The sequence below is a fragment of the Homo sapiens genome, chromosome 16 (genome assembly GCF_000001405.40).
Source record: "Homo sapiens chromosome 16, GRCh38.p14 Primary Assembly".
Taxonomy (NCBI): domain Eukaryota; kingdom Metazoa; phylum Chordata; class Mammalia; order Primates; family Hominidae; genus Homo; species Homo sapiens.
Window position 1 is genome coordinate 69,975,920 of NC_000016.10, and position 24,447 is coordinate 70,000,366.

Sequence of the window (24,447 nt, forward strand, 5' to 3'; positions counted from 1 at the left end):
TTTATCAGAAAGAGGCTGGTGGTCGGGACCAGTAGGAGGATCGCTTGAGTCCAGGAGTGCATCTCTACAAAAAAGTTAAAGGATTTTTTAACATTGGCCAGGCATGGTGGCACACATCTGTGATCCCAGCTACTTGGGAGGCTGAGGCAGGATTGCTTGAAGCCCAGGAGGTTGAGGATGCAGTGAGCTGTGATTGAGCCACTGCACTCCAGCCTGGCTGACAGAGCAAAACCCAGTCTCAAAAAATAATAATAATATTTTACATAACCAACCACTTCTAAAGACTAAAAAAAACCCCTACAATTAAAAACCTCAGGTCCCTCAGGCAATCATACCGATATTGAAACAAAGCAATAACATAAGGACTGCAGTATTTATTTTATTTTTATATTATTTATTTATTCTTTGTTAGTTTGTTTTTGGAGTGTGGGTTTTGTTTTGTTTTTTGATTTTTTTCTTTTGTTCCACTCACAGATTTCTTCTTATTGCCCAGGCTTGAGTGCAATGACCTGTTCTCAGCTTACTCAACCTCTGCCTCTTGGGTTTCAGTGATTTTTCTGCCTCGGCCTCCTGAGTAGCTAAGGGAGGAGTCTTGAGATTATCATCCACGGAGGGTGGAAGAGGAGAGGGTGGAAGGGGAATAAGAAGACATTCGGGAGGTGTCTTGAGGCTCAGGGAGTTATCAGTTATAGAATGTTGTTGAGTTGGAGGAGGTGGCTGGCGGCCCATCCTGTTTTTTAAAGTTTCAGCTGTGAGGTAGGGCCAGTAGGGCAATCCTGAAGAATGACGATGCTCCGCTGCCGCCATTCTGACCTGTAGGGCCGAAGAAGGGAATGTTTTCACACATATTCATTTGATGGACAAAATTACCGCCACCAACACGGTCTGCACCTTCTGTTGCTGGTGATAGATTTTTGCACCTTTCCATCCTCCAGGTTTCAAAATAGCAGTATCAGTGTCATAATATCACCCTTCCACTGAGTACTGCCGACAGCTGGGGAGTAAAGAAAAGTCATTGGGACACACTGTTGTCTCCACATGCCACTGTGTCTGTCTGCAAATGTAGGCAGGCTGGGGTCCTGCCCCAGGGAAGACAGAGTCATAACAGAGTAATAAAGAGGCATGTTTGAGACACAGGAGTGTCTATGTCTATCCTCATTCCTCCCTCACAGCCATCACCAGAGCATGTTTCTTGCACCAGGTCAACAGACAGTAAGAGAGGCATGAAAAGCCCATTGTCCACACATGTTGCAGCTTCTTTTTGGAGAATGTTTTCCAGGCCTTTTATGTTCTGTCTCTGATTCTCGGAACTCTGCAAGGTCAGTGTGACCACCCTGCTCCAAATCTAAGAAAACAGAGGTTTCCAGAGGAAGGAGAAATTGTGCCCGGGGTCACACAGCTTGCAAGAGGCAGAGTGGAAGTTGATTCCAGCTCTGCCTGCAGGACCCTCTCATTTCCCCTGTTTCCCTTCTTGATAAAGGATCTTCTTCACTCTGGAGGTGCCACCCATGAGAACAAAGAGCTCTGCAGAGATGTGGATTCCTGAAGAGCTGCAGGGGAACTGGGAGAGGGTTTTCTGACAGAACAATCTTACCTCAAGAAGTCAGTTAGGCATGGCTGTAATATTTCTTTTCACTCCCAGGTAATACCAAATTGTAAGTGCACTAGGACATAAAGAATACTTTTGTCCATGGAAAAATGAGGTGGGAATTCTAAACAAAGCAAGTTTTAAAACTGTTTCACTTCAAGTGTACAAGTCCCATCACGTGTAATCATAGGACTCGGCAGCTTTTGAAGGTACAGAGGCCACACAAGAACCAGCTTAGCTGAGCATCATTTAAGGCCTTCATTTGGAATTGTCCCTGTGGGTAATAAGTTACATTCACTCTTCACTAATTTACAGTCAGGGCCCATTTGCTATTACAAATATGGAACCTCTGACACTTTGAATATTAGATCAGGGGCCCCACTGGGTGGGGATGAAGGTGTTTTTGCACAACACGGTTACCAACAGGGATGGGACTGTGATGCTTGTAGGCAGCCTTCCTCTCTGCCATCTCCCTCTGCAGGGCTTGAGCACAGAGCTGTAGGGAGAAAAATGTATCCATGTCCTGACCTGGCAGACTGTCCAAAAGCAAGGAAAACAAACAAACTTACCCAGTTGCAAAGAGGCTTTCTTGCAGAGGGGGTGATCTGAAAAAGCCAACACATGAGAAATTGAATGTTGAGAGAGTCTAAGGGCGGTGGCATCATCTGCATCAGCACTGAACTATCCTGCAACTGCGGGGAGGAAGCTCCTTACTTTGCATTTGTGGTAGTCCTCTGCCCGCCACCGCAACTCTTGCGCACGTTGAAACATTTTCCTATGGATTACAATCACTTTCATCAGATAAAGCACCACTTTCAGGATGATTTTAAATAATCTGCCACGTTTCTGTTATCCTCATAACTGTACCCTTACACAATCTATCTCTACCTAGAAAACGTATTTCAGAGGGCTATAAGAGTACAGTCTGAGCTGGTCGCGGTGGCTGACGCCTGTAGTCCCAGCACTCTGGGAGGGCGAGGCAGATGGATCACGAGGTCAGGAGATTGAGACCATCCTGGCTAATACGGTGAAACCCCGTCTCTACTAAAAATACAAAAAATTAGCCGGGCGTGGTGGCAGGCACCTGTAATCCCAGCTACTCGGGAGGCTGAGGCAGGGGAATCACTTGAACCTGGGAGGCGGAGGTTGCAGTGAGCCAGGATCACGTCATTGCACTCCAGCCTGGGTGACACAGCGAGACTCCATCTCAGAAAAACAAAAAAAAACTGTACAGTCTGATCCAAACTGTTGCTATATTGATTCCTCCTCTTGCTTACTGCCTGCTGACTTCTGAGATGATAGTTTCCTTCCCCATTCTCAGTATATCCCTAATTCATCCTTCACTGAGCATCTTTTATCATAAAGCTGTATTCTCTTTGTATTAATATCCTTACCGTGTTTCACAGGGCAGAAACAGCTGGGCTTATAAACAGGCATAGTCCTTTTGAAGGATGTGGTTGATCCTACAACAACACACTTTCCTAAGGATGACAACAACTCACCCCACCCCTAGAATGGCTGGTATGAACCGAGTTTCTACACAGTCTAGCTGGCAATGGGGTCAGGAGACCTTTTGCTGCTTCACATCTTTTGGTCACTGGTAAATATTAAGGTACTTTGTTTTCTGTTTTGTGAACTCTCTCTCTCTCTCTCACGATATGTCTTCTGACCATTTGTTTCTATTTCTGCATTTACTGGGTCTAAACATTGTACAGAGGTTAAAAACAACACTCCAATGGGCGTTTCCCAGGAGGGTGGGGTTCAGTTTCTGAACTCACTTGTAGGTGTGTATTTCTTTCATATCCAATTTCCCATTTTCCTCTGCCTCTGATACCTGCCTCTCCTTTTCTGCATGCTCACATTCTTTCATGCTTAGTTTCCTCAGGTTAGAAGGGAGAGAAATGCACACACATGATCCACCAGCCCATGTGGGATTCTCTCTGCCCTTCTGGCATCTGAAGGCTGTGATTCAAAGATGCCCCCTGCAACCTTCCCATAAATGAACCAACTGATTCTCACAACCGAAGGGAGAATGGACACCTCCCATTGAGGGAGAAAAAAAAAATCACACTCTGGCCTGCTGGCAAGTCACCTGTCATTTCCAGCTCATCTTCATAGTTCCATAGTTAGTCCTATTCTTTAGTAAATATAAAGACTATTAAAAGCTTCTACGAGGTGCAACTATGTGTGTCTCTGGGGTCAGTCTTGTGCTTGACACAGTGAAAGTTCATTTTAGTTCGGTGTGAAAAACCAGACCTCACCAACTCATCACAACTAACTCCATCGGAAGCAGAGGATTGCTCCTCATCTGACTCCTCCTGTGTGAGACCTGATTCTCAGTCAGAGGCTGATGCCGGAACTGAGACCATCAGCCATAGAGAGATCCTTCCAGAATATGGTGTCATTAACCCCGCAGTTCACTACTGCACTTTGCCGTGATTCAGGACTGGAACTCTTGTCATCGACTTGAAAGATCCTGGTTGAGAGGAAAGGCAATCTGAATGCCGGGCACATCTATTGAATTAGAAATGATCGGAATGGCTCCTAAGTCAGGGTGTTATGTCCTGAAAATAGGTGACAACTGCAAACCATCCACCCTGGTGTTGACTGACTTTAACAAGGTTCAGTTCACAGAGATTGAGGGCAGAAAAAGGAAATGGCCTAAAAAGGGTAAGTTTGCTGTGTTGCCCTCACACCACTTGATTCATGGTCCTTATCCTAAGGATCTCACCTGATACTTGGTTTTATAGGAAGGATGTGTAAAATTCCCAGAACGCTAGGAAACAGGGACGAAAACACTTCAAAGGGAAAGTTAATGAACTTGTTTCTGACCACAGAGCATCCTTCAGCACATGCTGTCTGGAGTGGCCTCCAACAAGGAGTGTGTGGTGAGGTGCTGAGAATGCAATGGGAGCAGGGTCCTGTCCCCACGCTAAAGAAGCTCACAGTTTAATGCAAATGAGAAGCCAGTGAGGACATCACTACTCCTGCTGTGCACTTGGAAACTAGAAACACAAAACCTGACTCTGGAGGGAAGCTAAGGAAGCATTCTACTCTTGAGTTGACATAAGTGCATCTGAAGCTTCTGATCTCCGATGAGAACAATGGGGGACACCAAACAGAATATAAAACCCATGATTGAATACATCAAATTGCTAACATGGCAGTAAACAGACATGAGGTGAAGATGGAGAAGAAGGCAACCCAGGACAAAAGTCAGCCTTGCATTTGGAACCCATTTCCCTGATTTCATTGCTGAATTCCAGAAGGAACTACTGAGATGCAAAGCAGCAGAGCAGCTTCTGCACACATGCGTGGGATTAGATGGAAAACAAGTGGACTGAGGGTCTGCCAATGAAAGCGACCCGTACTGAAGTCCACTGGCTCTGGTTGAGACCCAGAAGAGTCACACATCAGAATAGAGGTGGACAGGAAATACCCTGGCCTTTGTAGGGACTGAGCCTGCACTGATGACCTTAATTGCAGCCTGTATGGAGGACCCCTGACCATCCCCCAGAAGTAGACTCCCATCTCTTCTGCAGCAAGATAACACGCTACTAGGCCTCAATTCATTGCTAAATATTTTTTAACAAGTATCTCACATTTAACAAAAAGAGATCAGTCATATGGCAGCAAAAAACAATGTAATATGACCAAAACATGAAAGACTGTGAAAATGAATCTGGAGGTGACCCAAGCATTGAATTCAACAATCCAGGCTGGGTGCGGTGGCTCACACTGGGAGGATGAGGTAGGCAGATCACCTGAGGTCAGGAGTTCAAGACTAGCCTGGCCAACATGGTGAACCCCTGTCTCTACTAAAAATACAAAAATTGGGCTGGGCACAGTGGCTCACACCTGTAATCCCAGCACATTGGGAGGCCGAGGTGTGCTGATCATGATGTCAGGAGTTCTAGACCAGCTTGGCCAATATGGTGAAACCCCGCCTCTACTAAAAATACAAAAATTATCCGGGCATGGTGGCATATGCCTGTAGTCCCAGCTACTCAAGAGGCTGAGGGATAAGAATCGCTTGAACCTGGGAGGCGGAGGTTGCAGTGAGCCAAGATCATGCCACTGCACTCTAGCCTGGGTGACAGAGACTCTGTCTCAAAAAAAAAAAAAAAAAACTGGCCGAATATGGTGGCACACACCTGTAATCCAAGCTACTCAGGAAGCTGAGGCAGAATTGCTTCAAACTGGGAGGTAGAGGTTGCAGCGAGCCAAGATTCCACCATAGCACTCCAGCCTGGGAGACTGAGCGAGACTCTATCTCAAAATTAAAAAAAAAAAAAAAGGCTGGGTGTGGTGGCTCACGCCTCTAATCCCAGCACTTTGGGAGGCTGAGGCGGGTGGATTACCTGAGGTCAGAAGTTCGAGACCAGCCTGGACAACATGGTGAAACCCCATCTCTAGTAAAAATACAAAAATTAGCTGGGCATGGTGGTGGGCACCTGTAATCCCAGCTACTTGGGAGGCTGAAGCAGGAGAATTGCTTGAACCCAAAAGGCAGTGAGCTGAGATTGTGCCATTGCACTACAGCCTGGGCAACAAGAGCAAAGCTCCATCTCAGGAAAAAAAAAAAAAAAAAAAAGAGAGAGAGAAAGGAAAACCAATGCCAGTACTAGCAACTCCTCTTCCCCCAAAAAAATTACAAACAAGAATGTAGGAAGGGAAAGGAATTATACAGCTTAAACTAATGAAGCAGAAAGGACAAACTCAATTTTGAACCCACTGAATTTGCCACAAATATTGTAGAAAATATTCTCAAGGACTTTACAGTTGTCTACTTTGATTGGCACATGGTTCATACAACAGTATTTGTGTCAAGGCACATCTTACTGTTCTTTGGCGGTCTTCCTCTTTCCATTGATTTTGTAATGATGGTTGACTTTCTTTGTGACCTTCATCTTACGGATTTTAGCTTGAACTTTTGTTTCCGCCTGTTTCCATAAAGTACAGATGTCTTCCAGGCCAATTTTAATTCCTGGAAAGGAAGAAACTCTTTTCTTTGTGTGCATACAAATGGACCTCAGCCCTGGGTGAGAGTGAGGAGAGGAGAAGGTGAGAAACCTGAGGGCAAGAAGCTATTCTTTCCCTTTCCAGGGCAAACTCATTTCCACACTATGGGGACTCCAACAGAGCCATACCTTCCTGTCTACGGCGGTTGGACCTCCTAGCTCTCTGCTGTACATCCCTGGATCTATCATGTCCATTTCGAGACCAGAAGATAGTCTTCAGGAAAGGCACCTAGGAAATAATAATATAAGAATGACGGCTGGGCACGGTGGCTCATGCGTATAATCCCATTAATTTGGGAGGCCGAGGCAGGTGGATCACAGGGTCAGGAGTTCAAGACCAGCCTGGCCAAGATGGTGAAACCCCGTCTCTACTAAAAATACAAAAATTAGCTGGGCATGGCAGCGGGCGCCTGTAATCCGAGCTACTCGGGAGGCTGAGGCAGAGAACCGTTTGAAGCTGGGAGGCGGAGGTTGCAGTGAGCCGAGATCACACCACTGCACTCCAGCCTGAGCGACAGAATGAGACTCTGTCTCACACACACACACACACACACACACACACACACACACAAAAGAATGACATGAGGCTGGCACGGTGGCTCACTCCTGTAATCCCAGCACTTTGGGAGGCCGAGGCAGGAGGATCACCTGAGGTCAGGAGTTTGAGACCAGCCTCACCAACATGGAGAAACGCTGTCTCTGCTAAAAATACAAAATTAGCCAGGCATGGTGGTGCATGCCTGTAATCCCAGCTAGTTGGGAGGCTGAGGCAGGAGAATCACTTGAACCCAGCAGGAAAAGGTTGTGGTGAGCTGAGATTGTGCCATTGCACTCCAACCTGGGCAACAAGATTGAAACTCTGTCTCAAAAAAAAAAAAAAAAAAAAAAAAGGCCAGGTGCGGTAGCTCACGCCTGTAATCCCAGCACTTTGGGAGGCCGAGGCGGGAGAATCACAAGGTCAAGAGATGGAGACCATTTTGGGCAACATGGTGAAACCCCGTCTCTACTAAAAATACAAAAATTAGCTGAGCATGGTGATGCACGCCTGTAGTCCCAGCTACTCGGGAGGCTGAGGCAGGAGAACTGCTTGAACCCAGGAGGCAGAGGTTGCAGTGAGCCAAGATCCCACCACTGCACTCCAGCCTGGTGACAGAGTGAGACTCCGTCTCAAAAAAAGAAAAAAATGACACGAATATATTTCACACAACTCAACTGTACACTTCAACATGGTTAGATGGTAATTATCATCTCATAAGTATTTTACCACAGGTTAACATGTTTCACAACTTGAAAAGGAAGGAATTACCTTCAGCTCTCTGAGTTCTAGAATTTGTAACATTTCACCCCCTGCTTCTTCCTGATCTACACTGGAGCATCTTCCTTCTGTCCCTGCTCTACTCAGAGTTCACTTTCCCTTCCCTCACATCAGCTTCATTGAGGCTGGTTTGTACTTAACGCAAAACATTCTCACTAATGACTGAATTCCCACCAAGATTTCCATATTATCACAGTATGCTTTTAATCTTCTAAGATATTAAATATTTGTTCTCATCACAGCTAAAATGCAATGCAAATCCCATCTCAGATGTGGGTCAGATACCTATGAATCTCCTGAGGTAGTCATTGAAATGACTTTTTTTTTTCTTGAGACAGAGTGTCACTCTCAACCATGCTGAAGTGCAGTGGCGCTACCTTGGCTCATGGCAACCTCCACCTCCCAGATTCAAGCGATTCTTGTGCCTCGGCCTCCCAAGTAGCTGGGATTACAGGTGCCTGCTACCATGCCTGGCTAATTTTTGTCTTTTTATTAGAGATGGGGTTTCACCATGTTGGCCCACCTGGTCTTGAACTCCTGACCTCAAGTGATCCACCTGTCTCAGCCTCCCAAAGTGCTGGGATTACAGACATGAGCCACCACACCTGGCCTGAAATAATATCTTTCAAAATCTTTGTAGAATTTTTTTTTCCTGATTTCTGCACATAGGATAAAAAAAAAAATCATGTACTAGGATTTCGAGAGAAGCAATGGGTAATCTAAAAAGATGAAAGGGCAACCACATCTATCCCACAGCTACTGCTAGATTTCATAGGAAAGGTAGCTGGCCCAGTTTGGAGATAGGAGAAATGTCAAACACATGAAGAAATGAGAAGCAAAGAAATGCCATCACGCATGAATGCTTCATGGCACCCATGATGTCCCTGCTTAGGAGGTAATGGTATAGATGACTAGATGACAAGGACAAAGAAGAGAGGTGCGAAGTTGTCCAAGTCCAACAGCTCAGCTGAACTTTCCTAAATGGAATTGTTAAAAAGTGGTAAATTTAAAAACTTCCCCTGGCTCACGTGGTGGCTCACGCTTGTAATCCCAGCACTTTGGGAGGCTGAGGCGGGTGGATCATTTGAGGTCGGGTTTTGAGACTAGCCTGGCCAACATGGTAAAACCCCGACTCTACTAAAAATACAAAAATTTGCTGGGCATGGTGGTGGGCACCTGTAATCCCAGCTACTTGAGAGGCTGAGGCAGGGGAATCGCTTGAAGCCAGGAGGTGGAGGTTGCAGTGAGCCGAGATCACACCATTATACTCCAGCCTGGGCAACAGAGGGAGACTTGTCTCGGGGGTAAGAAAAAAAAAAAAAAAAAAAAGCTTCCTCCAATTTATACCGAAAATTCTCTGTTCAGGACTAAGTGGCATAGAGAATGTTAAATTTGCCTAGATATCTTCATAACTCATATATTTTCTGTTTTCTACATATCTTGAAAGGCAGTGCCAAATGACGTATAATTATCTAGGTGGTAAAACTGAAACATACTTCCTCTTCCCTTGAATATAAAAAAGCATTGTGGTATTAGTACTTTTATCTTGGATCATTGTTCAAAAGGAGGTTCAGCCCCCAGACAACCACATTTTTACTGTCATGAATGACAAGACAAAATGTAGAGCTCAACTTACCCAAAGGAAAAAAGACTCAAAAGACAAATTATGGCACAACTTAGCAGCCAAATTCTTACCAAGTACAGACTTTTGACATACTGATCTCTCTCCAGTTGCAAGTGGGAACATGCACTTTGAATGATGTCATTCAAAATTACCCTGCCCAGACACACTTTTCATTGATTCTCTTGGAGGGCAGTTCTAAGAGATTCTCTGGGGCTTTCTCTGCATCGTGAGATGCAGTGCAGTTCTGCCCTTCACCTTCCGGCAGTTTGTCACCTCGTCCCTATGACCTCAGAGGAACTTTGTCTCAGGCCAATTGTTTGTTCCTTGGGCTCTTTCATTTCCCCTAAAAATCATTTGCTACCCCTCTAAATGGCCTACATCTCCATCTATCTCCCTCTCCCCTCAGAAGAGGGTGCTCTTTAAGCATCAACCATCCGGCCCTTCTAGCAGTCTCATTTTTCAGCTGGTTCCCATGTTTATGCCTGTTCTATGTTTTTCTTTTCCTGTTAAGCTGTCTGTTGTCAGCTCATTTCTGCAGTGAATCTTCCGAAAGGAGATTGGAAGCTTTCCTTCCACCCATACGATAGAACTATAAAGCAGAAGAGTTTAGAAAGAATTTCCTATTTAAGTGACGAAACCTCATACTCCATTTGTGATAAATAGTACAAAGGTTAAAAAAACTTATTTTTGACCAAAAGCTCTGTTGACATTCTATTAAACAAACACCGACCTATTTAATTTTCATAATGTAAATGGCAGATATTTTCATAATTCTTATGCTAATAAATCATTTCCCTGATTTTTTGGGTAAAACCACATATTCATAATGAAGTCCAGAAACGTGAATTGTTTTATATAATTTATTCTTATTTGTGATTACAAGTATACCTCTACAGAAAGTTAGTATACTCACACAAAGGTAAATTGTGCAGAAGAGAATGGTAAATTTGTAACGTCCCAGAAACACAATAATGATAATTATCCAAGGACTTCCACCAAAGTCAGTCTCACGATGACGATGGTCAGCCAGAGTATTGATAACCTGGAATAATAATAGTTGAAATAATGAAAAGGTCAATGACACCGACAATATTTCACTCAGAAAGAATCATCCTTAGAAACCGTCAACCTCCTCCAAAAGGTAACCACATCCCTCAGATATCACCGTGGGATTCCACTGCTACAAAAAAGAACAGAAGTTAGAAGTCTCATGTTTTTCAGATGGCTGGTAGTGTTTTTAGGCATTGCAAATGTGGGGTGTTGTCTTTCTTGGTATAAAGCAGGGATATCCAATCTTTTCACTTCCCTGCCTATAGTAAAAGAAGCAAAGTTGTCTTGAGCCACACATAACATACACTAACACTAACAATAGCTGATGATCTAAAAAAAAAAACTTTTTTTTTTTTTTTTTTTGGAGACAGAGTTCCGCTCCACTCAGTCGCCCAGGCTGGAGTGCAGTGGTGCAATCTCGGCTCACTGCAACCTCCAGCTCCTGGGCTCAAGCCATTCTCCTCCCTCAGCCTCCCGAGTAGCTGAGATTACAGGTCTCTGCCACCAGGCTCGACTAATTTTTGTATTTTTAGTAGAGATGAGGTTTCACCATGTTGGCCAGTCTGGCCTTGAACTCCTGACAGGCGATCTGCCTGCCTCAGCCTCCCAAAGTGCTGGGATTACAGGTGTGAGCCACCGTGCCCAGCCATTTTTTTGTTTTTGTTTGTTGTTTTTGAGATGGGGTCTCACTCTGTCACCCAGGCTGGAGTGCAGTGGTGCGCTCTCGGCTCACTGCAACCTCTGCCTCTCAGGTTCAAGTGACTCTCCTGCCTCAGCCTCCTGAGTAGCTGGGAGTACAGGTGCCTGACAATGCACTCAGCAAATTTTTGTATTTTTTGTGGAGATGGGGTTTTGCCATGTTGGCCAGGGTGGTCTCAAACTCCTGACCTCAGGTAATCTGCCCACCTCAGCCTCCCAAAGTGCTGGGATTACAGGCATGAGCCACTGTACCTGGCCAAAATCTCCTAATGTTTTAAGAAAGTTTACAAATTTGTGTTGAACTGCATTCAAAACTGTCCTGGGCCACATGCAGCCCGTCACTCATGGGTAAGACAAGCTAAGTATAATGTAATTATCTTTTCTTTTCTTTTTGTTTTGAGACAAAATCTTGCTCTGTCACCCAGGCTAGATTGCAGTGGCATGATTTCAGCTCACTGCAACCTCCGCCTCCCGGGTTCAAGCGATTCTCCTGCCTCAGCTACTGAGTAACTGGGATTACAGTCGCCTGCCACCGCGCTCGGCTAATTTTTGTATTTTTAGTAGAAACAGGGTTTCACCATCTTGGCCAGGCTGGTCTCCAACTCCTGACCTCATGATCCACCTGCCTCGGCCTCCCAAAGTGCTGGGAATACAGGTGTGAGCCACTGCGCCTGGCCAGTAGTTATCTTTTAAGTTATTTACTTGTTTTTTAAATTGATGTATAACATTGGATGCATTTATTATATATCACATGGTAAAAGAATCCCTCTAAATAATACTTCTCTTTTGGATTATATGAATCTTTGTCATTTAAAGCTCAGCATAAGTAAAAAAAAAAAAAAATACAATGAAGAGATTACTTCATTCACAAATAAGTATCAAATTTTAGTGCTTAAAAATTAACAAGCTGGGCCAGGCGTGGTGGCTCACGCCTGCAATCCCAGCACTTTGGGAAGCCGAGGTGGGTGGACCACGAGATCAGGAGACTGAGACCATCCTAGCTAACACGGTGAAACCCATCTCTACTAAAATTACAAAAAATTAGCAGGGCATGGTGGCACGCACCTATAGTTCCAGCTACTTGGGAGGCTGAGGCAGAAGAATCACTTGAACCCGGGAGGCAGAGGTTGCAGTGAGCTTAGATCGCACCACTGCACTTCAGCCTGGGTGACAGAGCGAGACTCTGTCTCAAAAAAAAAAAAATTACCAAGGTGGAGATCATGAAAATGGCATGAATAGTGTGGGATTTCTCTAAGATTGTTGATATTAATTCCATTAGACTCTTATGTGAGTGAAGACGAAGACTTCCTCTGAGTAAGTTCAGACAGCTTGTGATAACATTTCTACATCGATTCCTCAGGATTTAACTATATATTCTTGAAAACATCTCAATTTTAAATGTTTCTTTCAAGATGGTGAATTAAACAGAGATAGCCCTTCAACTGGTTGAACTCGTGAGTCTGAAATGGAAATGATGGAGTTAGAGAACCATACAACAATGGTAATGATTTCAGAAACATGGTGTTGAGCAGAATAAAGCAGACACAAAAGAGTACCTATGGCATGGCATGCATCTGTATACGCGAAATTCCAGAATAAGCAAGCTAACCTATGATAAGAAAGAGACTGGCTGGGAAGAGTGAGAGTTCACTTTCTGGGGTGACATAATAGTGTAGATCTTGGCTGGGCACGGTGGTTCACGCCTGTAATCCCAACACTTTGGGAGGCCGAGGCGGGCGGATCATCTGAGGTCGGGAGTTCAATACCAGCCTGACCAACATGGAGAAACCCTATCTCTACTAAAAATACAAAATTAGCTGGGAGTGGTGGCACATGTCTGTAATCCCAGCCACTCGGGAGGCTGAGGCAGGAGAATCGCTCGAACCTGGGAAGCAGCGGTTGCGGTGAGCTGATATTGCCCCATTGCACTCCAGCCTGGACAACAAGGGAGAAACTGTCTCAAATAAATAAATAAATAAATAAAATAATGTAGATCTTGAAAGGGGGTCGGTTTATGCTGGTGTATGTACTTTCCAAAGTTAGTAAACTTACACTTAAGGTTATATATTTTGGCCAGGCGCGATGGTTCACGCCTGTAATCCCAGCACTGGGAGGCCGAGGCAGGCGGATCACGAGGTCAAGAGATGGAGACTATCCTGGCGAACATGGTGAAACCCCGTCTCTACTAAAAATACAAAAATTAGCCAGGCGTTGTAATCTGAGCTACTCAGGAGGCTGAGGCAGGACAATTGCTTGAACCCTGGAAGCGGAGGTTGCAGTGAGCCGAGATCTTGCCACTGCACTCCAGCCTGGGCGACAGAGTGAGACTCTGTCTAAAAAAAAAAAACAAAAAAAGTCATCAAACCAGATGACACAAATCAAATGACATTTCACTTTGTTTTGGTCCATTTTGTTTGTTAGAGACAAGAGTGCAGCGGGGCCATCTCGGCTCACTGCAACGTCCAGCTCCTGGGCCCAAGCGATCCTCCCACCTCAGCCTCTCCAGTAACTGTGATAACAGGTACGCACCACCAGGCCCGACTAATCTTTTTTGGAATTTTTTGTAGAGATGGGGTTTCGCCATGATGCCCTGGCTAGTCTTCAACTCCTGGACTCAAGTGATCTGCCCACCTCGGCCCCCTAAAGTGCTGGGATTACAGGCCTGAGCTGTGTAATTTCATGCCGCCTGACACAGCCCAGTAAAAAGGAAGAAACCCCGCGGGTCCAGCGTCTACTCACAGGGGTGGGCTGATGGCTGATAAATCCCAGCAGGAGCCAGAAGAGGAGCCAAAAGCGCAGCCACCGCACCCGCATGTCCTGGTCCTTTCAGGGCGCCCTGAGGCAGCCAGGACAGAGGTGGAGGTGGCTTAGGGCAGGGGGGAGGGAAGGGGATGGGACCGGGGCCAGATCTGAGTTGGGGAGGGGGAGGGGAAGGGGAGGGGAAGGGGGGAAGTAAGGGAAGGGAAAGGAGGAGAAGGGGGCTGTTGGGCACCTGGAGGAGGAGGAGGAGGAGGAGGAGAAGAAAGCGGTCTGGGAAAGGATCCAGTTCAAATTAAGTTCTCAAGCGCTGGTGGAAGGTTTAGCTACAGGTCACGTAGAAGATCAGGGAAGCAACAGGACACGCAGGGCAAGGGAGCGTGAGGCTTAGGAGCAATTAGAAGGAGACAAAGGTTCTCCTTTCCACCAAACCTTCTTCGGTCTGGGCCCTCCCTTAGCAACCCTGGGGCTTTATACTCCCTCTCCACCAATCCCTGATGACCCCGGTGGTGCCTCACAATGGACAATGCCAAGTAGCGCCCGCATCATTCCAATGACCCCTCCCCCATCTCAGTCCCCCACGCTCCTCCCAAGGACAGGTCCTCTCTGGAACCTTCACAAACCTGATTTCTGGTCCTCCCCAACCAGCTCCCTGTCCCTGCTTCTGGGCGCTCCTTCCTTCCTGAGCTCCCAGGGTTCCTCAAGGTCACCTTTGGCGACAAAACATAAAAAACAAATGATGGCAGGATGGCAGGAAGAACCTCATACCCAAGCAGAGTGCCAGGTTTTACAGCCTCCGCTCAGCCATTCATATCCTAAGCAACAAAACATCAGCAGGATGCGGAAGGTCCCGATAGTAAACCATCTCCATCACATCCATGTAGCCATCCGTCCATCAACCTGTATCTCAGGAACAAATGTAGATACATTCATTTTAAGCATACATGGTACATTTGCAAAAATTAACCTGACTTATTTTGTTCCAGCAAATCTCAATATATTTGAGAGCAATCAAATCACACAGCATGTTTCTGATCATATAACTGTGCTAGAAGTCAATGATTAAAAGCTAATTCAAAATTATTATTTGCTTGGAAATTCAAAGTGCCCTTATAAGATATAAACATAAGAAAGAATCCAAAATGAAACAAGATTGCCTTTAAACTCAATGATAAGATCATAACATGGCAATAAAATGTCTCCCTCTGGCCTGGGAATTCCTCTTTGTGGCACAAGGTTGTGTGATCTCAAATCACCCCTAACCCACCTAGACATCTTAACATCCGAAACCGAGTGATGATGTCCTTATCTATATCATCTTACTGCCCGTGTGTGTGGACTTTAAATTCTGAACCCAAATGAGGGGGAGAAAACCAAGTTGACTTTCATGACTGACCTCTCAGGGACGTCCAAGGAATCTGTGCATTTCAAGAAACAAAGTTCATCAGCTTCTCTCCTAAGGTATTCGCCCACAATACCCAGAGGGCTTGGCAGCATCATGTGTGATGGGTGGGGAGCTCCAAGCAGGTGGGTAGGACCCAGGGGCCTGGTGACCAGGACGGACCCCCACTGTCCATCACCTTTCCTGGCCCTGTCCTCAGCTAAACTTCCCACAGGCCTTCTGCCCGATCACACAGAGTGTGCCCAAACTCACTCAGGCCTCTGGCGGCTGAAAACCACTGCTTTAAATCCCTTTACATTTACTATCACATAAGGTTATTGTAAATGAGAAATATTCTATTGATGCTACAAATGGAAAGCCAATGCCTTTACCATAAATAGAAAAACAACCCTAAGAAACAAGCAAAACAAAAACAAAACGGGCTGGGTGTGGTGGCTCACGCCTGTAATCCCACCACTGTGGGAGGCCGAGGTGGGTGGATCACAAGGTCGGGAGTTCCAGACCAGCCTGGCCAATATGGTGAAACCCTGTCTCTAATAAAATACAAAAATTAGGTGGGTGTGGTGGTGGGCGCCTGTAGTCCCACCTACTTGGGAGGCTGAGGCAGGAGAATAGTTTGAACCTGGGAGGCAGAGTTTGCAGTGAGCTGAGATTGCACCACTGCACTCCAGCCTAGGAGACAGAGTGAGACTCTGTCTCAAAAACAGCAACAACTACAAACAAACAAACAAAAAACGGGGTGAACAAAACTATGGAATTCAATTCTATTTGTATGCTGCAGCCATGTTCCAGCCCTAGATTTGGCTGGGCATGGTGGCTCACGCCTGTAATCCCAGCACTTTGGGAGGCTGAGGCAGGCGGATCACGAGGTTAGGGGTTCGAGACCAGCCTGACCAACATGGTGAAACCCCGTCTCTACTAAAAATACAAAAATTAGCCAGGCATGGTGGCACACGCCTGTAATCCCAGCTACTCAGGAGGCTGAGGCAGGACAATCCCTTGAACCCGGGAGGCGGAGGTTGCAGTGAGCCGAGATCGTACCATTGCACTCCAGCCTGGGTGACAGAATGGAATGAGACTCTGTCTCAAAAAAAAAAAAAAAAAGAAGCCCTAGATTTCGGTTGTATTGGTTGTAAAAGGAGAGACCAACTAAGTGGGGGTTGAAGTCAGATTAGACCAAAAGTGAATGGCAGAGAGTGCCATAATGTCCATGAAGGGTTGCTAGAGTCACCGCGATCATAGCCCAAGCAGAGACAGAGAAAGGAAGATGTGAGCAGAGTTTGGGGCCTCAAACAATGGAGGTTATTCGTGCAGCCCAGGAAAGGCTCCCCAAAGCCAGGATCAACCTCCCTTGCAGGCGGTCCCCCTCATGGAGGCATGGCCAGGCACCTTAGATTTGAGACCAGCTGCGTTGCTGCTGACCAGCTGTGTGACCCTGGGCTGGTTTCCTTCCATACAATGGGAGAGCCAACGGCTGCATGCATGCAAAGACCGTCTGAGGATAGGAGGAAGCAATCTGTTGAGCACCCGTGTACCTGAGTGTCATCACCTCCCAAGGGCATCCTTCGTTCCAGAGCTGGCACCTTGGAAGGCCCTTGGTCACTGAAGGCAGTGATGATGGTAACAGCAGTAAATCATCATTTACGGCTGATGAGGGAAGGCCAGGGGTAAGGCTCCTAGGTCCTGGATAAGAATGAGGGTCTGGGCACTCCTGGGGACAGCTGAGTGGTAGGACTCCTGGGTCCCCAGGGGGCAGGTCCATCTTCAGTGGCATTGGGCCTTGGCTGGGATGCTGAGTTATCCACTGGAGCATCGGCAGTACAGGCAGGCACAGAGGCAGTGGATCCATCGGAGGTGGCAGGTGTAGGATCGTCTGGTGAGCAAGTAGAGTCACCAAGTCTGGCTGACCACTACCCCCACTACCCCCACTATCCCCACAGACGATGCCCTGTCCCTTGCCTCATGCTCCGGCAGGGTACAGGCTCGCACCTGGGGCCTCATGGAGCATCTCTCTAAGACCTCTGTGTCCTGGTCATTGAATGGGCACTTGAGTCACCCAGGGCCATTGGAACAAAGAGGAAGAATCAGGCCCCACGATGTTTTGGGAGAGTGTTTAGCACAGGAAAATGCACAGAATACATGCACGACACAGGGGCACTGTCAGTGTGGGAGCAATAGTTTACAACCTCCAGCCCTAATCTGAGCACTCTCACCTGTGCAATCTGAAAGGAACAGGAGACTTGCAGGAAAGACAGTGCCTGGACTTCACTTAAAGGAACTAAACTGTTGGAATTTGTACTCTTGATATCCTTCCAAATCAACTCTCTCAATGTTCCCATCCTCAAAACTATCATATAGGGTAACTGAGGCAGTCAGAGATTTACTGACTCAATGTCACTCAGTTGATTCTGAGTTCACTGCTGATTACATCTGACCAAACTGCTTTTTCTGAAGTCTACTCTGTTTCATCATGCTGGTGATGATTTTGTGCAGCTCTGGGACAAACTCCACCTGGCTGAGGATAAAGCAAATCTGCGGTGACTTAGTCCTCCTGTCATTTCCCATCAGTTCCCCACTCTCCTCCTCTGCCCCTCCACAGTCTCCCATGCAGGCTGACACCATCTGACGGCCTTAATGGAGTCCACCGAGTATTTCAGGTTCTCTCCTGGGCCACTTGAAAGTGGATGTACCCATGGGATTTGCTTTGACCCAGGAGATGTGAGTGGAAGTGAAGCGTGTCACCTCGAGGCAAAAGAGTTGGGAGCCATTGAGACTGGCCACCCTCTCCTTCATCTTTTAGAGCAGCTGACAGCTCCCATATGGAGGCTGCTCCTTTATTCTCGTGGCAGGATGAGGGCATGTGGGGCACAGGGCACAGGAGAGCCATGGAGGATGTGCAGCATGGGCAGGAAAAGAGCCTTCAGTGGTGTACATTTCCATCGTTTGAGGCTGTTTCTTACCTACAGTGATACCTAGCCCATCCTAGCAGGCATGCACCATCTACCCCACACTCTGTGATGCAGACTAGCCTGCCGTCAGAACATGAACTGGTGGTCAGACACACGTAGGTTTCAGTTCCAGCTCTGCCTCTTATTGACTGCAACCTCAGGCTTAACTTTCAGTCTCTGAGCCTCAGTTTCAACTCTGTAAAATGAGGTGGCTATACCATCTCAGGTTGCAGAGAGAATTAAATGAAATATAAGTGCATATAGAGCATTGAACCCAGGGCCTGGCACACACAGTGAGTACACAATGTTAGCCATGTAGCTTCATAATGCATACTGATTGTCAATATTCAGACAATGCAGTAAAGTATTACCAAAAATAAAAGTAAACTTATTTGCATATGTATTCTTTCAATCTTTATTTTTAAACAGGGTAAAACTATGCATATTCTTTCATAGCCAGTGTTTTTCCCTTCATAGTATATTGTTAAAATAATTTTATCTTGGACCGGGTGCAGTGGCTCACACCTATAGTCCCAGCACTTTGGGAGGCCGCAGTGGGCAGATCACGAGGTCAGGAGTTGACACGAGCCTGGCCAATATGGTGAAACCCCATCTCTACTAAGAATACAAAAGTTAGCTGGGCATGATGGCGCACACCTGTAGTCCCAGCTACTCAGAGGCTGAGGCAGAGGAATCGCTTGAACCCGGGAGACGGAGGTTGCAGTGAGCCAAGATTGTGCCATTGCACTCCAGCCTGGGCGACAGAGTGAAACTCTGTCTCAAAATGTGTGTGTGTGTGTGTGTGTGTGTGTGTGTGTGTGTGTGTATCTATATACATCTCAAAAATAAAAGATCATTTTTGAGATTATCATTTTAAAAGACAAGATAATGTTCAACTTAATGACTAATTTAATTATTACTATTGGACTTTTTGTAGACTGCACAGAGCATTCAAAACAAATGAAGGAGAATAAAAAATATGTATTACATGTTGTAAAATAAATGTGATGTGGTTAATTCTTTTATTCAAAATTATAGAACATATATACGTACTATAGAATGTATTTCTTATTATAAGTCATGTTAAAAAGTAGTTTAGAAGCTGTTGATTTGAATTTCCTTTTCAAATTTTGCAGGATAATTTTTTTTTTTTTTTTTTTGACAGAGTCTCGCTCTGTCGCACAGTGTGGAGTGCAATGGCGTGATCTCGGCCCACTAAAACCTCCACCTCCTGAATCTAAGCAATTCTCCTGTCTCAGCCTCCTGAGTAGCTGGGACTACAGGCTCACACCACCATGCCCGGCTAATTTTTGTATTTTTAGTAGGGACGAGGTTTTGCCATATTGGTCAGGCTGGTCTCGAAGTCCTGGCCTCAGGTGATCCACCAGCCTCAGCCTCCCAAAATGCTGGGATTACAGGCATGAGTCACCATGCCCAGCCTAAACTTGGCAAGATAATAAATAACCTTTTTAAGTGTCGTTGGGCACTTGTCTGGTTGTTTTTCTTTAGGTTACCATGCCAGCAATGATTCCTTTTGAGTTTCTGACAGAAGATAGTGGTTTTCATCCAAATAAGTCAACTACTCTACCCCATCCCTAAGCCACTTGTATGGAAAGAAAAAGAGGAAGAATCCAGTACTGTGACTGCGTAAGCTTCCCCCAGCATCACCCGCTGTGAGATGTGTGGCAGCTGAGACCTGGGAACTGCTCAAGGGCACCAGGCCCCATCTGTCTGCACTCACTCACCTTCCTCAGGTACTCGCATGGGCATGTCACTGACTTTACGTGCTGCTGCAGCTCCTTGGTGAGCGGGCCCTGGTCATGGGACAGGAACTGTGGGGTCAGGACGATAGAGAGCTTCACCATTTGCAGAATGAGAACAGGGGCTCATCATGAGTGCCAACCTATTAGACAATTAAAAAAAAAAAGTGTTGAATGAGTGGAAAAACAAGGTGATGTTTGAGTCTATAGTGGTCAAGGGCTTCAGAAAAGGACAGAACCAAGTTCAAATTCCTGTACTTTGAATTTCTACTTCATGCCATGCAAAATTACTTTACCCCTTTTCACCTCAGTTTTCTTCTGTGTGAAACAGGAACAATAGTTTCATTCCTCATTCAGTTTCTCTCAAGGTTTCACGAGATCATACCTACAAAACATCCAAGTCATTTAAATGTATCATCATTTCTGTCATAATTAGTGGCATCCATTTCACTATTATTGGATATACAGTTCTGTGCCTGAAACCTACAAAAAAAGAAAATGTTAAGTCTAAAAAGCATTAGTGATTTCTCACTTTTATATTATTAATTATAACCCTATTTAATCACACAAGGCCTTGTCCGTGGCAGGTGCTCAATAAACACTTGTCGAATCAATGCATGTGGGCTCCGGAGCCACACTGTTTAGATTCTATTCTGCCTCCACCACTTATCAGCTGTGTGATCTGGGTAAGATAATTCACCTCTTTATGTCTGCACTTCCCTCTCCATAAACTATATATAATGAGAATCCTTAGCTCATTCGGTTGTGGTGAGGGGTGAATGATTTGGCACACAGGAGGGGCTTGTTAACATTAGCTGTGATGATCTCCTTCCAAATCTTCATTTTCAGAGCCACAGATGAGGCCACAGTGCAACCAGGTGACCTTAGAGTGTAAGTACACATGATCGCCAGCTATGCTCTATCTCCACCATAGGTCCAAGACTGGGTAGTTCCGGCCTGGAGGTTTCTGCTGCATCTGCCTTCTCAGTGTTCACCTAAGGACTTTTGTATTTTCCTCCTCACATCCCCACAGATGGGGTTCAGGCTGCCGGACACAGCTGGGTGATGCCAGGGCAGTGGTCACCTGTGCCAGCCCCGTGAGGTAGCTGGAGGATCATTGTTCCTTCCTTCTCGGGCTCTGGGCAGATGCCAGGGCTGGGGTGACCCATGCCCTCAAGTTTCTTGCTTTGGTGGGCCACATTTTCCCTTGGCAAAGAGGGTAAAGGTCACAGGATGCTGGAGAGCTGTGACTTCTCTGTGCCCCGGGCCCAAACTATGAAGACCTGACACACTATGCTAAAAGTCCAAGGCTGGGTGCTCCCCAGAGCTTCTTGCCTCACCGCTTCTGCTGAGGGAGGAATGAATACTATGTCCTCCCAGAGCTTTGGGAGCTTGTAGCAAGCAGCCTCCCCAGCGCAAAATCTCTTGGAAACCTCTAACTGTGTCTGAAACATTAGTGCAAATGTTGCATCCTATTTCCCATATGTCCGCATGTTTTAGGAAAAAACCCTCAATTTCCTAAATATGCAAGAAAAATCGGTATTGTAGGACAATGTGACTTTTTAAAAAATGTTATTTAAAAATCTTCCCCACCTCCTTTTCTGCCCTCCAAGACTGCCAAATACTTGTTGAACAAATATTATTAAATGCCTACTACGTGCCAGCCATGATTCATGGTCTTGGGGACACAGCAGAGAACGAACTGACAGGATTCCTCTCTTATGTAACTCACTTTCTTATATGATAATGATAAGGGTTAACATTAATTAAGCTGTCACTACGTGTTAGTCACGGTGCAGTCATTCCCACACATTATTACACTTAAACCTGCTAGCAAGCTTGCAAGGTAGTTAGTTGTTTTTCCTTTAAAAACTGAGTCTCAGAATGATGAAGCACTCTGTCCAATGTCACACAGCTAGTAAGTGTGGAGACCTTGCATCCAATCCATGCCCGTCTCATTCTAAACACCAAGTTATGTGTTCTCCAGCCCATGGAGAATAATTTTAACACAGTCAATGAAATTTCTACACAACAATGTTCTCGTCTCAAGTCCAAGAATGCCTCCTACACCTCCCATAATACTGGCTTTCTGATGAGTAAAGATGCCATTCTCATGTGTAATCAGGTGGCAAATGGAGATATGACCAAAGTAACCATTTGCCTACACTCATAACCCTGTACACACTCTTCCTGTGTCGACTCAATTCAAGTACCCCTTTTGATCACTTAGCAAATCTGACCTTTAAAAGGGTTAAGGTTTTTATATCCATGTAAGTTTCTGTATTGCTTTGGAAGTCTCTGGTTAAATGAATACCCTTTTAATAGTGACCTGTGATTCTGTTTTGATCAAGTGTTTTCAAACTTGACATCTTTGATGGGTTTCTCCAGTGTCAAAATCCTAAATCAGGTCTTTTTGGCTTAAAATTAACTTTGGGATTTTTCAGCTGCGTCCCTTGGGGAGTCTAAAGAATGTATCTCTCATCTTGTAGCGGTATTAAGTGATTCGATTTATTTGGTAGATTTTATGGGCGGGCATTGTCAAATGTGGTGATACTGCATGGGAGGGCACTGTCAAGTGAGGTGACATTAGATCTCATCTCAGTTATATTTATGGGTATGTTGTTGATATACACGTTCCAAAAATCACATACATTTATACAAATTTAATATGTTATGATTTGTAATTTTGATAGTTATGCTAAATATTTGTTAAAGTTATATTTGTATAAACATGTTATGAATGGCTGGGCACCGTCACTCATGCCTGTAATCCCAGCACTTTGGGAGACAAAGGCAGGTGGATCACCTGAGGTTGGGAGTTCGAGACCAGCCTGACTAATAGGGTGAAACCCTGTCTCCACTAAAAATACAAAAATTCGCCATGCCTGGTGGCACACGCCTGTAGTCTCAGCTACTCGGGAGGCTGAGACAGGAGAATTGCTTGAACACAGGAGGTGGAGGATGCAGTGAGTCGAGATCATGCCACTGCACTCCCACCTGGGTGACAGAGGTAGAATCTATCTAAAAAAAAAAGTTATTATTTCTGAAGATTATATGAAATTTATAAAAGTCTGATGGTCCTGATGTGATGCTGTCAGTTATGATTCTGATTACTGTCTTAAAATGCTGCAGATAAGTAATTAAATTTCCTTGTGAACTGGGAAGTTTCATCAGACTTTTATCATAACTATTGTTTCCATCATCCACAGTTACTGTTTTGATTTCTTCTCTAAAACTATTTGTAATTGGCAATAGTCCAAATTTTCTTTTGTTTTCTTTCCTGTTTTTGAGACACAGTCTGGCTCTGTCGCCTAAGCTGGAGTGCAGTGGTGGGATCTTGGCTCTCTGCAAGCTCTGCCTCCTGGGTTCACGCCATTCTCCTGCCTCAGCCTCCCAAGTAGCTGGGACTATAGGCGCCTGCCACCACGCCCAGCTAAGTTTTTGTATTTTTAGTAGAGACGGGGTTTCACTGTGTTAGCCAGGATGGTCTCAATCTCCTGACCTCGTGATCTGCCCGCCTCAGCCTCCCAAAGTGCTGGGATTACAGATGTGAGCCACCGCGCCCGGCTTAATTTTTGCATTTTCAGTAGATAGGAGGTTTCACCATGTTGGCCAGGATGGTCTCGATCTACTGACCTTGTAATCCGCCTGCCTCGGCCTCTCAAAGTGCTGGGATCATAGGTGTGAGCCACTGCAACTGACTTTTTTTTTTTTTTTTTTTTTTTTGAGACAGAGACTCACTCTGTCACCCAGACTGGAGTGCAGTGGCATGATTTCGGCTCACTGCAACCTCCACCTCCTGAGTTCAAACAATTATCCTGCCTCATCCTTCGGAGTACCTGGGATTACAGGTGAGTCCCACCGTGCCCGGCTCATTTTTGTATTTTTAGTAGAGACGGCGTTTCATCATGTTGGCCAGGCTGGTGTCATATCCTGGCCTCAACTGATCCACTCTCATTGGCCTTCCAAGGTGCTGGGATTATAGGCGTGAGCCACCACAACTGGCTCAGTAAGTACGTTTTTTATTATCAAAAAAGAGTAGTGTATGATTGGCGTATTCTGTGTAGAATGTATTTTATTGATGTCTCCTATTTTTATGATTTCTGAGTTAAGTACTTTTTAATTAATGCTTTTTAGTTTTGGGCAGATTCAGTTGACTAAAGCACCTCATTTCCCAGATACATGAAATAAAATATTTGGCTTCTTTTCCAATTTCACACTGATGTTATTTTGTGAAAATCAGTGCTTTAAGATAAATCTTTATACTTTAAGGTGAACATGAG

The 24,447-nt window shown here is 45.4% G+C and overlaps 2 pseudogenes across 1 annotated transcript in view, besides 1 other annotated feature; both read right to left on the reverse strand.

Moving 5' to 3' along the window:
- Window positions 378–24,447, reverse strand: part of PDXDC2P-NPIPB14P (PDXDC2P-NPIPB14P readthrough, transcribed pseudogene) — an 89,652-nt pseudogene continuing 65,582 nt past the window's right edge. Inside the window, exons 17-26 of the transcript NR_003610.1 lie at window positions 20,471–20,549; window positions 20,150–20,307; window positions 14,678–14,764; window positions 14,037–14,289; window positions 10,462–10,590; window positions 6,739–6,838; window positions 6,431–6,575; window positions 2,158–2,193; window positions 892–2,084; window positions 378–813 (exon numbers count right to left, since the gene is read on the reverse strand). The product of NR_003610.1 is annotated as a PDXDC2P-NPIPB14P readthrough, transcribed pseudogene (transcript). The remainder of the gene's footprint in view (window positions 814–891; window positions 2,085–2,157; window positions 2,194–6,430; window positions 6,576–6,738; window positions 6,839–10,461; window positions 10,591–14,036; window positions 14,290–14,677; window positions 14,765–20,149; window positions 20,308–20,470; window positions 20,550–24,447) is intronic.
- Window positions 469–20,269, reverse strand: NPIPB14P (nuclear pore complex interacting protein family member B14, pseudogene; annotated as a pseudogene).
- Window positions 9,394–9,594: a silencer, noted in NCBI's record as "peak2633 fragment used in MPRA reporter construct". NCBI's record gives its function as "represses an SCP1 promoter by STARR-seq MPRAs in K562 erythroleukemia cells {active_cell/tissue: K562}" and the evidence as "EXISTENCE:reporter gene assay evidence [ECO:0000049][PMID:32103011]".